This window comes from Homo sapiens, chromosome 14, assembly GCF_000001405.40.
Source record: "Homo sapiens chromosome 14, GRCh38.p14 Primary Assembly".
Lineage (NCBI taxonomy): Eukaryota > Metazoa > Chordata > Mammalia > Primates > Hominidae > Homo > Homo sapiens.
Window position 1 is genome coordinate 81525606 of NC_000014.9, and position 13738 is coordinate 81539343.

Sequence of the window (13738 nt, forward strand, 5' to 3'; positions counted from 1 at the left end):
TTTACATCCAATTCAGCAAATTTACTTTAAGAATTCTAAGGAAATTTTCACAGATAGGCACAAAGATACATCTAAAATGATCTCCCAGCAAAACATAAACGTTTTGGTTTATGGTACCATATATTTACAAATAAAATTTTTTATAGCCATTAACTATCAAATTGAAAATAAGCTAAATGACATGGAAAAACATTCATGGTAAACTGTTAAGTGCAAAATGCAGGCTGCAACATAGAATACACATTTTGACCCAATTTACTTTTCTTAAAACTACTGATACACCTAAAAAAATCCTGAGAGAATATTCTCCATGATGTGAGCAGCTGTTATTTCTAGTTGATGGGATTCAGGTACTTTTAATTTTTTAAAAATAGTTTTCTATTCATGAGAATGGTATATTTGTAGTAAAAAAAAATTCTATTTTTTTAAAAAGTTCAAATTTGGATCAGTTCCTGAGAGTGGTTAGTAATGGAATAATAAACAGATAAGGCAGTGATCATTGAAATAATAAATGACAGAAGGGCAACAAGACATGGTAGAATGCATACATTAATAATTTTTAAAAGGATTAATATTTAGAAGACTATTGTGAAAAAGGTCAAGTTTTAAATTGAAAAGTAGAGGTTTCAAGATTGTGAAAGTTAGAATAGGATGGAAGTACACACAAGCGTCAGCTGAGGGATAAACACCTAAATCAAATTACCTAGGATGATCGACAAGGTTATTGTAGTAATAATCCTACCACAATCCTGAAAATAACCATAGTGGCATGTTAGACAGTTCTTCCTGAGTTTCTGTTTTGTATGCTACCCTGACATATTATTTTTTTAAATTTCTCAGTGAGAAATGTATTTACATACTTGATTCCAAAAAGAAACGTCAGGATATTAATAAAAAGATAAATGCAATCTCATCTATTGAATTCAGCTTATGTAACTTGGGTCAAATCTGTTAAGTGAATAACTTTGGTATATTAAAATCTAGAAATTCTCTCCAAACTACACTCCATATATTATTTGTGGGTAATAATCAGTGAAGCCAGTCTTCTTCAGCCTCTTTATTCATTAGCTTAAAATTTTCAGTTGTCCCCTAAATAAATCAAAAAGCAAGGAAAATGTCCAGACTACCTGGTTTCCGTACTTTCTTTGGCTCTTCATAGTCCTTGTTTTCTGGATTTGGAGACTCTAGAAAGCTGATATCTTCTGTGACACTTTCCCCCTCTTGGCTCTTGAGGCTGTCTTCCTCTTCTTGAATAGAGGATTCTAATTCAGATTCTTCTGAATCAAGAAATATTTGACCAGCAACTACTCTGCCTGCAGTAGTATGGTCCTTTACTGACTCATCTGATGTCAAAGTAGTCTGAGAATATAAAGTATTTTTAGTTATCAACAATGCCAAGACTTTCCCCAACCCTATTTGACCGTTATTTTTACTAATCCAGATATCACATCTCCTTCAGCTCCTTGAAGTGCCACACTCACTCATCTCTATAGGCTTTGGCATGTGTCCATCACGTGCCTTCCTTCATCACCTAACTTGTAGCCTTTTTGAATTTCAACTTAGATGTTACTTCCCCCAGAAGCCTTCCTTAATTCCCAAAGTCTGGGTTCGGTTTTCCTCCACATGCCCCCAACATACCTTATACTTCTACTTCCTGCTTTTATCTACATTCCCTCAAATCTAAAGATCAGAGCTCATAACTGACTGCAGGGTTGGGCTTGGTTAGTACTTGGAAGGGAGAGCTCAATCAACCAATAAGTGCATTAGCTCACTGGATTTATTTTTGAGAACTGGAAAGTGGAAACAAATGACACAGGTTAAATCTTCAAACTTACACACACACACACACACACACACACACACACACAGAGCACATTCAAGTTGAAATGAAATATTTACTATTCCCTCTTGTAGGTCAGTAATTTTTTCTTCCTCCAGAAAAACTAGAACTAATACTAATACCATCTGTCTTTTTCTGTCCTTTTTAATTCAACTGTTACTCAAAAGTTGCAGACCTCATATCCTTTCTAAGATACATAATTCATCCTTTTAAATCAGGCAGCAAATACTGGCCAATACACATTTTAGTACATACCTTGGAATCTAAGGATTCATCCTGGCTGCCTTCTTCATCTGCAAAGAAATTTTAAGACAATTTAGTAATCTTTCTTGTTGGGAAATTAGTTATTATTAAAAGAAAACATGTGAAAAGTATAGCAAATAATAATCAAACATTGGATAAATAAACATAGAATTATTTTAAAGTTAGCTATATTCAGCAATTGTTCAGAAAAGATCAAGTGAAAGGAAAAAAAAAATGGGTTGGGGGTTTAGTTTCTCTCTTTCTCCAGAAAAGACATTAGCTCCATCTGTTACAAAGGTAGGAAGACCAACAGCCTCCACCAACAAAAACAGGTATTTCTTCACATTCCATCCAATTCTTGTGGGTCTATTTAGTCTATTTCTGAGAATGAGTTACTAAGTTCATAAAAATAAATCTCTAATTTCATACTCCGGGCTTCCACCTATTCTGTTTGTCTGCTCAGGATCTTGAGTTAGAGTAGCCCATTTTAGTGCTCATTAGTATTTGTATTGTTTACTACTATAGTAAGGATGGAAACTAAGAATTATTATTTGATAGCAGAGTTGCAAAACAATTATATTTAGGATTTGTGTTCTACTCTACTCAGAGATAACCAGATGCAGGTAAAAAGCAGCATGGTCCTATCATATATTCACTCAATTGAGAGCTATGTAGTAAGAAATCAATAACTTACATTAAACAATGAAAAACAGCCACCGGTTACACCTTGCTTACACATTCACACAGCCTGCTTTGGTGTTGTCTGATTACATTAATTTTCCTTCTGTTACTTTTTCCATGTTTTCTGACTATTACTTTTCTGGCTGCTTGTTACTCTTCTTCCTGCTCTTACATAAACACATGCAACAACTCAATGTTCAGATGGAAATGCTTGATTTTTGTATTCCTTGCCAGTTTAAAACAGCGAATCTGTCAGATCATCTTTAAGTTTCCCTCTTGCTCTTAAAATTACCTGATTTTATTCAGGAGTGAGTTTCAGTTTTACCTGCTCCATAAGCTGTATGAGAAATTAACCAGTAGACAAAACCCTGTAAGACCATGTCATTTTTTACTAGAAAATTTGCTACTATAGTTGTCATTTATACTTTACTTCATATGGCTATATCCTAAATATCATTTGTAATTTGCAACTCTAAAATATAACAAAAAACCTGTGTTAGAGTTTGTTATCAAAGTACTGAGTTAAGACTAAGAAGTATAACCAACTCAATTATGCACAAAATACAAGACACTACCTCACAATATTTCTTTCGAATATTTGAGGAAACTAGTCCATTAGTGAGGTTTTGCCATATATGAAAGTGCTGTCAAGTCAAAGAAAATTTAAATTACAGCTACTATTCATATTCACCTACTTTTAGATTACCTTCAAAGTATGTTTTACTTCTGGCAGGTGGAGAGAAGGGTATGCCACATATTAGTCCCACAGCGCCCATAACATTAGGCAATGATGTCAGTTAATTAACAATTGTCCTTCATGCTAACTTCTTCACAAGTATTACCCAAAGCCCAATTTCTAACATGTGGTTCAAATTCCATTCTCAGCAAATCTTTAGATAAATTTAAAAAACCCATCTCTATAATATATCAAAGTTGTACTGTAAGTATATGTAATTAATCACAAACTTCAACTAGTTAATATATCAAAACAGATATTAAATGTTTAAACATATATGAAATACCCCCAAATACTGAATGAAACTTTAGATTAGCTGGAACTCTAAATCACTATCACTACATTGCTACATTTAGTACCTCACCACAACAGGTTACATAGGTAGCTAACAGGTGAATCATATGGACACATCTGTAAATACACTTAAAGACATGTACATTTCACACAGCACAAGCTGTTAGGCATTAGAGTAGCAAAACGTGTTTTCAAACTCCAAGAAACATGATTTGTAACATCAGAGTTATTTCATGTGAATTGCATCATGCTTCTCTTTCTCTCCCTCTCTCTTCGCAACCTGGACTATATGCTAATATTACTGGTGAATAAGATAATTCTCAGTTACTAAACTGGGAAAGCCTACTCCAGATGGTAGTCTCAAAGCATAAGCTATTTTCTTTTTCAAACTGATATAAACATTCACACAACACTTTTTAAAGAGTTGTTTATAACCTAGGAACTTCTGATAAGTAGTATTCAGGTAAGGATTAAAGAGACTGAAGTTATGCATAAATAAAAAGCAAACAGTAATGTTTTCATCAGAACACAGATATCAAGCAACAAGAAAAAAATGCAAAAGGATTAAGTTATGCGCTTCTCGCTCATCAGCATCACATCCAAATGGTTCATATTATTTTATTAACTGTACACCTTCCTTTGAAAAGGACCAGTTTTTATTTTTATTGTATTAGCTAACAAAACTGCAAAGTACCAGAGATATGCTTTCAGGGAAAAGTGATCACTACAAAATCATTTTTCCATTCATCACGTAAATTAAACAGACTGATAACCTTTAAACACAGAAAGTCTAAATAGTTTGGTGAAAACAGACCAGATATCCTGTTCTCTGCTTTAGCTCTAAATTGGTACAGATCCTAAGATACTCTCGATTCTAAATTTCTTCAATTCTGAGACCTGGAGAGCTAGGTCTGGAACCTGGCTTCATCACATGTTAATTCTGACACATGGTTCAGTAACAAAAGCTTGCTCAGCCTCTGTTTCTCAATCTGTCAAAAGGGGTAACACCTCTGTCCCGCTGACTCACAATATTTTAAGGAACGACCAAAACAGTGAAATTAAACATCCTCTGCTGTCTGAAAACTACTCTCTGAATTTATAATTATTACCTGAAATACCTGGCAGTGGACCTAACTAAAATGACTAACACTGCTTGGCACAAAGAAAAAAAAAGGTTAAGCCATTTGCCTCTTCTGCCAAAAATAAGAAAGCATGCATTTGTGAGAAAAATTATAACCTTTTCACTATTATCCTGAGAAAATGAAGAAATATCTTTTTAGTGTCCTCCTTTAAATTTATTAATAGAAAAGAGAAAATGTTTCTAATATTAGCCATGTGTCAATGACGAGGATATGTTCTGAAAAGTGTATCACTGGGCGATTTCCTTTTTGTATACTTAAACCTAAATGGGATAGCCTTCTACATACCTGGGCTACATAGTGTAGCCTGTTGTTCCTAAGCTACAAATCTGTACAGCATGTGACTATACAGACTACTGTAGGCAACTGTAACATAACAGTAAGTATTTGTGTACATAAACATAGCTAAACATAGAAAAGCTACAGTGAAAATATGGTGTAAAAGATTACAAAACATATACCTGTCTAGGGCACTTACCATAAATGGAACTTGCAGGATTAAGAGTTGCTGTGGGTGAGTGAGTGAGTGAATGTGAAGCCTAGGATGTTACTATACACTATTGTAAACACTGTACACTTAAACTACACTAAATTTATTTTTTAAAAAGTGTGCTACCATGTTCCAATGGCTACAATGTCACTAGGTGACAGGAATTTTTCAGCTCCATTATATTCTTACAGGGCCACCATCTTACATGGGGTTCATTGTTGACCAAAATGTCATTATGTAGCATGTGACTATATCATATTTTTACATGCTTCTAAAACATGATACTAGCTAACAGCTATCAACAGCAATAGAATCAAGATTCTCTTTGTTGGCTGACCATACTCCACCTGGAGAGATGCGACCTGCCCTGGGTAACCACTAATGTTCAAACACAAAATTATAACCAAAAACTTGATTTTAATACTGGAGTAAAACTTTAAACTTTGAGGCCGAAACCCTGTGAATGAAAATCACAATTGAAAATCCATAGCTTAATTTACACAACTTTATTTAACACAGGGTTGTTTTTTTTTCTTTTTTTTTGAGACAGGGTCTCGCTCTATTGTCCAGGCTGGAGTGCAGTGGCATAATCACAGCTCAGTGCAGCCTCAACCTCCTGGGGCTCACTCCATCCTGCCACCTCAGCCTCCCGAGTAGCTGGAACTACACGTGTGCACCATCACACCTGGAGTTACGTAGAGATGGGGTTTCGCCATGTTGCCCAGGTTGGTCTTGAACTCCTGGGCTCAAGTGATCCTTCCACTTCAGCCTCCCAAAGTGCTGGGATTACAGGTATGAGCTGGGCCCGCACAGGTGTTTTATGATATATGAACTTCATGTGAGCACAGCACTGCCTTTATTACCTTTTAGCATGCACATCTACATTGTTTTAGTTCTGGCTAAGGCTTCTGCCTTTACCATTGAAATGTTGTGGCACAGCTTTAACTATGATGGAAATCAGAGCAGACATTTCTTGAATACAGTCCTCTACCTACATCAATACAACCCAAGGATTTAATATATCAGTGTTAAGTCTTTTATTACAACATCCTGAAAGCCCCAACTGTTGATCTTCAAATATCTTTTCCACTGGCATGGAGCTCTAAGTATATAAAATGCAGTCAAAGACAGACAGCACAATTCCTATGCTTTAATTTTCTTTAAACTCTGCCAATTAAATTCAGAGGGATACACACCGTGCTCTTTCATTACTGTAGTTCTCTTTAGTGTGAAGAATCCCTCATGGAGATTGTTAATCTATGTATACCTGAGCTGTTCCAGACCTAAAACCCAATGTTTAACAAACCCATAAGAGGAATTCTGATGCAGGAGGTCCATGGTCCAGCAGGTACTCTACTCATTAAGCTCAACAGCTTCATTTCATGCTTTTTGATCAAATATTAAATAACTGCTAAAAGTGCTTCGAGAGTTAAGTATAGTCTAAAGATCTGGTCATTAACTCAAACCATCACTACTACTGGAGGGAGGGGAGTGGACCTGAAAGAATGATGTTGGCAGTAAAGTAATTAGCATAGGGTTGGTGCTTTTGAAATGGTATCTCAAACCACATCATGGATAGAATTTAGGTTTAAGCCTCTTATTTTAGAAGCAGAATGACGTTATGGCATTGATTTACAACTAGGACAGGTAATTTGGGGATTCAGATAACCATCTGGGAAATTTTCTGTTAAAAAAAAGCTGACATTTATTAAAAAAAGAAAAAGCTGACATTTATACTCCGTGTTGTCCCCCCAAAACGTCAAGCCACAGAACACCTGTCCTGTTAACTGAAACTGATTAAAATTCCAAAGTTTTACTGTACTAATTTTTATTTATCAACACTTAGAAACACGAAGTTTTCATGAACACTCTCAAAATGGAAATTTTCAAATGTAGGCAGATTAAAACATTAAAAAAGGGGGAAAAAAGCAGAACCAGAATAAACATTAGCTAACTGGAAAATCAATTCAAAAGCACACAAATTTCTGTATCTATATAAAACGCATCTTATAAGAACCAAGATTTTCCCAAACATCATAAAATGACTGTCAACAAACATGGGGCAACTCAGAAACACTGTGACAGGTCACCGCTTTCTCAGGAAGGTTTCAAAAAAGTAAAAAGTGGCTACGATGAGATCAAAAGTCTTCGTTTTTAAACAGACAGACCAGGGACCATCTCAGGTGTTAAGCAAACTACTGTCAACATCCTGGTCTGGATGGATCCTCCTCTGCCCCAAAGTGACAGCTCCAGGTTTGTCAATTATTTAACTTACAATTCCCAAGCCCAGAGTTCTAGACCAGACCCTTCCTCTACCCCAGGGTCGAGGAAGCTCCACTCGGGCTCCTGTATCAGGATTCATTCCTTTGGAGTCAATTCCGCGTTCGTGAGAAGAGTCGCGCAAAGTTTGTTACGTGGGAGAGAGGTGTGGGCAGGGTGACCGCCCCTTCTTTTTCCACCCCACTCCACCTTCCTAAATAGCCCCTTTGGCGCAGGCCAAGCAAAGCCAAAGAGCGAGTGACAGCCCAGTGCGAGATGTGCCCAGGGAGAACGGGGTCCCGAGCCTGGAGTCCCCACGGCCCCGCCGGCTGTAGAGGCTGGGGGGCGGAGGCTCTGGGCCTTCAGCCCGAGGGGGCGGATACTGACCCGAGGACGCCGAGGCCAAGCTCAGCAGCACCGCACACAGCAGCAGCGTCAGCCCTATCCGGACCCGCATCCTCCTCTCGGGGCCGGTGCCAACCCCTAGAGCTGTCGCCTTCGCCTCTGCCACCACGGACTCAGCCACCACCGCCGCCTCGCCGCTGCTCTTCCTGCTCTAGTCTCCTTCCTCCGCCCCTTCCCAGGCTTCCCTGACCCAGCGCGCAGCCAATCCCCGCCCGCCGTCGCGGGCTTCTGGTCCAATCACCATGGTCTCCCCGCCCACCCCCATTGCTCCGCCCCGGGGGTCATTCATTGGCCAATCATTGTACGAAGCTCCCACACCAGCTTTCTCGGTTGGACCACGACTCACGGACATGGCCCCAGCTAATTGGTAGCCCCTGGGTTCAACCGGAATCAGCGCGTGAGTCCAAGACTGGGAGAAAGAGGCTCATCCGAGACTACAATTCCCAGAATGCGCTTCATGTGATTAACTCGGGGGGTGCTCTTGGGAAACGTAGTCCATCGTAGGGCAAGATTTACAAGTGCGGGTGACTGTTGAAGTTAGAATTTAACTAACACCTGGGCTAAATATTAACTCAAGGCTATGGATTCACAAGCCTTTTTAAATTGACCCAAAATAAATATTAAGGAATAATTTTAAGAACTTGTAATGTGTTTAGCATCTTTTCCTGTTTTATTTAAAAAATTTAAATTGGGCATAGTGATAAGAGCACTGAGAAAAATGCCACAGCTAGTTGAATTTGAGGTGTTTTTTAAAACTTAGATAAAACAGTACCGTGAAGTACGGAAACCAGGGTGCAACTCAGTACCTGTCCTCCTTTCTCCGACAAAACAAAAGGAAATAAATCCGCTCGGCACAGATTATCTCAATACAGTATTTATTTTCACTAGGTTCACCAGACAATAATCATAAAGAAAATGTGCCAACAGCTTTGAAAAATTATTTTAAACACTTGTCCTCATCCTTCTCCTCTTGTGAGTTGCATTGTTCTCTTCTTTCCTAACTAAAGTCAGGAGACCAGGTTCACGTGTGTGGAGGTAGAGGTGATAGTGATTGCATCGCAGGCACGGAAATACTCTATGTAATAAGCACGAAATCCAGGCATGTTCCAACTGAGTAGCAGAGCAGTGACTTGGTGTGCCTGCCCTTTCTTTTCTCAAACCGTGTCATTCTGCTTTCCCTGTCATCCACCCACAGTCAGCTCTAAGGCCTAGAACCTAGTCCAGCCAAGTGAAGGACTTTGGAAAAGTCTCTGCTGGCCATGTGTCTTAACACTTCTGGGCATTTGTCTTCCTTCCTTTTTTTTTTTGTTTTTTGTTTTTTGTTTTTTGAGATACAGCCTTTTATTTTCAGGAAGATGGTAAAAAACCAACCACTGTTTCTCATTCACATCGGAGGAGATGAAGGAAAGAATTATCTCCTCCAAAAACTTGTCTTTTCAGCTACATCACCATTTCTGTCACTAACAATGTTCCCTCTGAGTTCCTCTGATTATAAATCATAGAGTAAAATCTGGTATATTTTCCTTTCTTTTTCATCTTATTGATAATCAAGTTCTATCAGTTTAAACTATGTAACTTTTAAATTGTTTTATTTTATTATGTACCTCTGTTCTCTTCCTCACTGAAAACTCCCCTAATGGCTTTCATTTTCTCTCACCTGGATGATGCACCTGAGTTCCAGCCATACTCACTGACATCATTCTCCCTTTAACCTGAATCACATATCATGGCCATATTAATTTTCCTTAAACACTGCTTTCATATGCCTATTGAAAATTTTCAATGGCTACACTTTTCACAGAATAAAAAAAATTAGAACTTATTCTACTCACAAAATAGGAACTGTGCTGACAGTTCTACTCTGTTGGGGAAGTACCAGGGAAGAAACTTCTGCCTTCTACAGAAGAGCCAGTGATTATCTGTTTGATTAAAACTGGGGAAAGTTTGCTGCTTAGTTAAGCCCCAACTTCTTTTTTCAGTTTTGTCTTTACTGAGTACGTCTTATATTTAAGGGTTGTTCTGGGTGCTGCTGCATGGACCAAATAGCCACTTCCGTTTTACTTTCCAGATTTCACATTAACACAATCATGTCTTCCTAAGGGTTCCTCTACCCTTTCTCCAACTGCCCTTGCTTCTTTCACTTAGCCATAACTCTGGCATCCTTCCCAATTTCATTCACATTTCGTCTTGGATCACACTTCTCCAACCAGATCTGTCCTCATTAATCTTCATTTCTCTAAGAATCTATTGAACACTCACAATCTTGCCTTATAAACAGATTGTAAACATGCTGAGGCTGGAGATGATCATGTGATTCTGTGTATAGGTATATAGTGCTGGACTTGCCACCACTAGCACTAGTTAATTATTTATTGGTTGATAGATATGTCTTGCCTGTCTGTTGTGAGATTCAAAATGGAGACACAGGATAAAAGCACTTTCTACATTGTAGGATGTTTTACATATAGTATTGTTTCTTATTGATTGCTTGGTTGAGGCGAAGGAGGGAAATTAGTTTTATACCCTTAATGCGAAAAGGGCTTAGAGCTGCTAGAGCTTTTGCCTTTAGCCAGCAATGAGTAGCTGACGTGCTCTGAGAATTCTCATAGGACCTGACTTCCTGGGGAAGTTCCAAGTCTCCAAAGTGGTTCAGAATATGCTGTGGGAAAGTCAGATTTATTTTATCAGCCTGCTATATTACATGAGATTAATTAGAAAAAAGGTTGTGAATTCTCCATGGCCTATCCAGTCTGTGCATACACTCCTCAAGGTTACCTGCCAGCATTCCCAGTTAAGGTTATGTACTTGTACAAAATGTTAATATTATTTATTAATTCTTAGACTGCTTCAATATTTGCTCAGCTGTCTTTATTCCATCTGTCCATATCAGCATTCTGGGTCATTGTCAGAGATTTCCAAGTTGCAGAAAACCTGTTTGCTCTGCATTGCAGCACAGCATAGCACTCAACAGAGGTAGGTAATAAACACCTTTTAATGCAGATGACACTGATGTAACCTCATGCCATTGAAATGAATCAAGCAATTAACAAATGCTGAGAACCTGAACGTGTTGAGGACATAAATCCAACTTGCTTTTCACTTAAGGATGGTGAGACAACCTCCAGAGACTTTTCCTGAGAATGGGGCAATTGTCACCAACTCTAGTGGGATATATCCTTTCCTGTGCTTTTCTTTGCGTTCCATTTGAATTGGTAATAGGCAAGACTGTCAGCATTTGTATTAAGGTATTTGCCAGGGCAGGATTAGGGAGAAGCAAGAAGCAGAATATTTTTCCCTTCAGGGCTTAGAAAAGAATGTACTTTCTTTCCTATAGATGAGGTAAATTAAAGTTTTCATGCATAAATGAAAATATAAACTCTTGCATTATATAGTGAGATAGAACCTGGCATCTTCTTATTTATATTCTGAGCTCTTGGAGTAAATGAACAATGGACTTATACCTCATCTTATCCCTCCTAACTTCAGGACAGCATATGGCAGGTGATCAAAGTGATCAAATTAATAAGTTTTGGGTGTTCATGCCAGTTTCCATGATTATAATTAAGAGCATTAAGTTTGGATTGCAGATCATAGATTGTGGAGGAGTATGTTTGATCTACCTAATGTTTGAAGCTGATAGAAGATGAAAGGGGGGAGGGAGCCTCAGGCTGTTTACCAAGTTTCATCGTGAGGTGACATTTGCTCTGGACATGTGTGTTCTCTGAGCAGTGTTGACTCATACCAGATAAAGGAAAGGCCAGGATATGTTTTTACCCTAAATAACTGGACAGGCATCCTTGGGTCCAATATTTTCATAAATTTGTTAACTGCTAGTTCCAGGGAGAGACTGGATTATAACTAAATTTAAATAAGAACTCGATGAAGTGAACTTTATAAGGTAGAGATAAACAGCTTAGAGCTCCCATTAAATTCAGTTAACCCTTGAGTAGATAGCAATGTATTTAATTAGTGAATGTTGCATTAGGAACATTATTTTCACAGGTCCTTCCTTCCTTCCACAAATATACAGGAACATTCCTGTAGTTGAGCACATTGGCTTTATTACTCATTGCAGTGTGGAAAAAAAATACACCATAAGGTATCTCCGTAGGAGGGTATTAGAAAGAACCTATCTTAGAATTTGGGCTTTGATTGGGTGATTTGTCAGAGACTAAGGAAGTTGGGTTTGCTCTAGATTGGATGCTGTTAGAAGTGCCCCTGCCTTCTATCGGGGGAACCAGCCCCCAATATTTCAACATAGGTTCTTTTTTATTTTCCCTAAGTGTTGGCTGGTCTGAAAAAGAGAAAGAGTACAAAGAGAGGAATTTTACAGCTGGGCCTCTTGGGGGTGACATCACATATTGGTAGGACCATGATGATGACCCCGAGCTGCAAAACCAGCAAGTTTTTATTAGGGATTTTAAAAGGGGAGGGGGTGTATGAACAGGGAGTAAGTCACAAGGATCACATGCTTCAAAGGGCAATAAAGATCACAAGGCGAAGGCAAAATTAGAATTACTGATGAGGGTCTATGTCCCACTGTGCACGTATTGTCTTGATAAACATCTTAACAGGAAACAGGGTTCGAGAGCAGAAAACCAGTCTGACTAGAATTTACCATGCTGGAATTTCCCACTCCTAGTAAGCCTGAGGGTACTGCAGGAGACCAGGGTGTATTTCAGTCCTTATCTCAACCACATAAGATAGACACTCCCAGAGCAGCCGTTTATAGACCTCCTCCCAGGAATGCATTCTTTCCCAGGGTATCAATTATTAATATTCCTTGCTGGGAAAAGAATTCAGCGATATCTCTCCTACTCACATGTCCGTTTATAGGCTCTCTGCAAGAAGAAAAATATGGCTCTATTCTGCCCAACCCCGCAGGCAGTCAGACCTTATGGTTATCTTCCCTTGTTCCCTGAAAATCACTGTTATTCTGTTCTTTTTCAGGGTGCACTGATTTCATATTGTTCAAACACATGTTTTACAATCAATTTGTACAATAATGGTCCTGAGGTTACAGACATTCTCAGCTTACGAAGATAACGTGATTAAGAGATTAAAGTAAAGACAGACATAAGAAATTGTAAGAGTATTATTAGGGAAGTGATAAATGTCCATGAAATCTTCACAATTTATATTCAGAGATGGCAGTAAAGACAGGCATAAGAAATTATAAAAGTATTAATTTTGGGAACTGATAAATGTCCATGAAATCTTCACAATTTATGTTCTTCTGCCTCGGCTCCAGCTTGTCCCTCTGTTCAGGGTCCCTGGCTTCCTGCAACACCATGATTTGATAGAAATAAATCAATAATTAGCAAGGCATGGTGGTGCACGCCTGTAGTCCCAGCTACTCAGGAGGCTGAGGCATGAGAATCGCTTGAACCCGGGAAGCAGAGGTTGCTGTGAGCCAAGATGGCACCACTACAGTCCAGGCTGGGTGACAGAGTGAGACTCTGTCACAAAACAACAAAAACAACAAAACAGAAAAACAGAAATAAATCTTAAGGAGAGTAGACAAGAATGAGGATAAAGCTGTAAGTAGAAAAGAAGTAGCATTCACTCATTTTGGCCAAGACAGGAGGTGTTTGGTGTTTTGTGGGTGGCACAGGGACCTTGTTTGGGTCTGTGCTTAAAGTTATAAAATG

General features: G+C 38.5%; 1 protein-coding gene across 5 annotated transcripts in view, besides 3 other annotated features; it reads right to left on the bottom strand.

Moving 5' to 3' along the window:
• SEL1L (SEL1L adaptor subunit of SYVN1 ubiquitin ligase) overlaps window positions 1-8248 on the bottom strand; it is a 62307-nt gene extending 54059 nt beyond the window's left edge. For all 5 annotated transcript variants that reach the window (XM_047431676.1, XM_005267988.4, XM_005267989.5 and 2 more), the window contains exons 1-3: window positions 8070-8248; window positions 2096-2133; window positions 1128-1359 (exon numbers count right to left, since the gene is read on the bottom strand). In XM_047431676.1, coding sequence (XP_047287632.1) covers window positions 1128-1359; window positions 2096-2133; window positions 8070-8139 — 340 coding nt within the window. In that variant the 5' untranslated portion in view covers window positions 8140-8248. The remainder of the gene's footprint in view (window positions 1-1127; window positions 1360-2095; window positions 2134-8069) is intronic.
• Window positions 8036-8535: an enhancer, noted in NCBI's record as "H3K27ac hESC enhancer chr14:81999985-82000484 (GRCh37/hg19 assembly coordinates)". NCBI's record gives its function as "activates a minimal SCP1, AML or CMV promoter by ChIP-STARR-seq in primed H9 embryonic stem cells {active_cell/tissue: H9 hESC(primed)}" and the evidence as "EXISTENCE:reporter gene assay evidence [ECO:0000049][PMID:30033119]".
• Window positions 8252-8371: a silencer, noted in NCBI's record as "silent region_5987". NCBI's record gives its function as "represses an Ori minimal core promoter by ATAC-STARR-seq in GM12878 lymphoblastoid cells {active_cell/tissue: GM12878}" and the evidence as "EXISTENCE:reporter gene assay evidence [ECO:0000049][PMID:35858748]".
• Window positions 12322-12994: an enhancer, noted in NCBI's record as "NANOG hESC enhancer chr14:82004271-82004943 (GRCh37/hg19 assembly coordinates)". NCBI's record gives its function as "activates a minimal SCP1, AML or CMV promoter by ChIP-STARR-seq in naive H9 embryonic stem cells {active_cell/tissue: H9 hESC(naive)}" and the evidence as "EXISTENCE:reporter gene assay evidence [ECO:0000049][PMID:30033119]".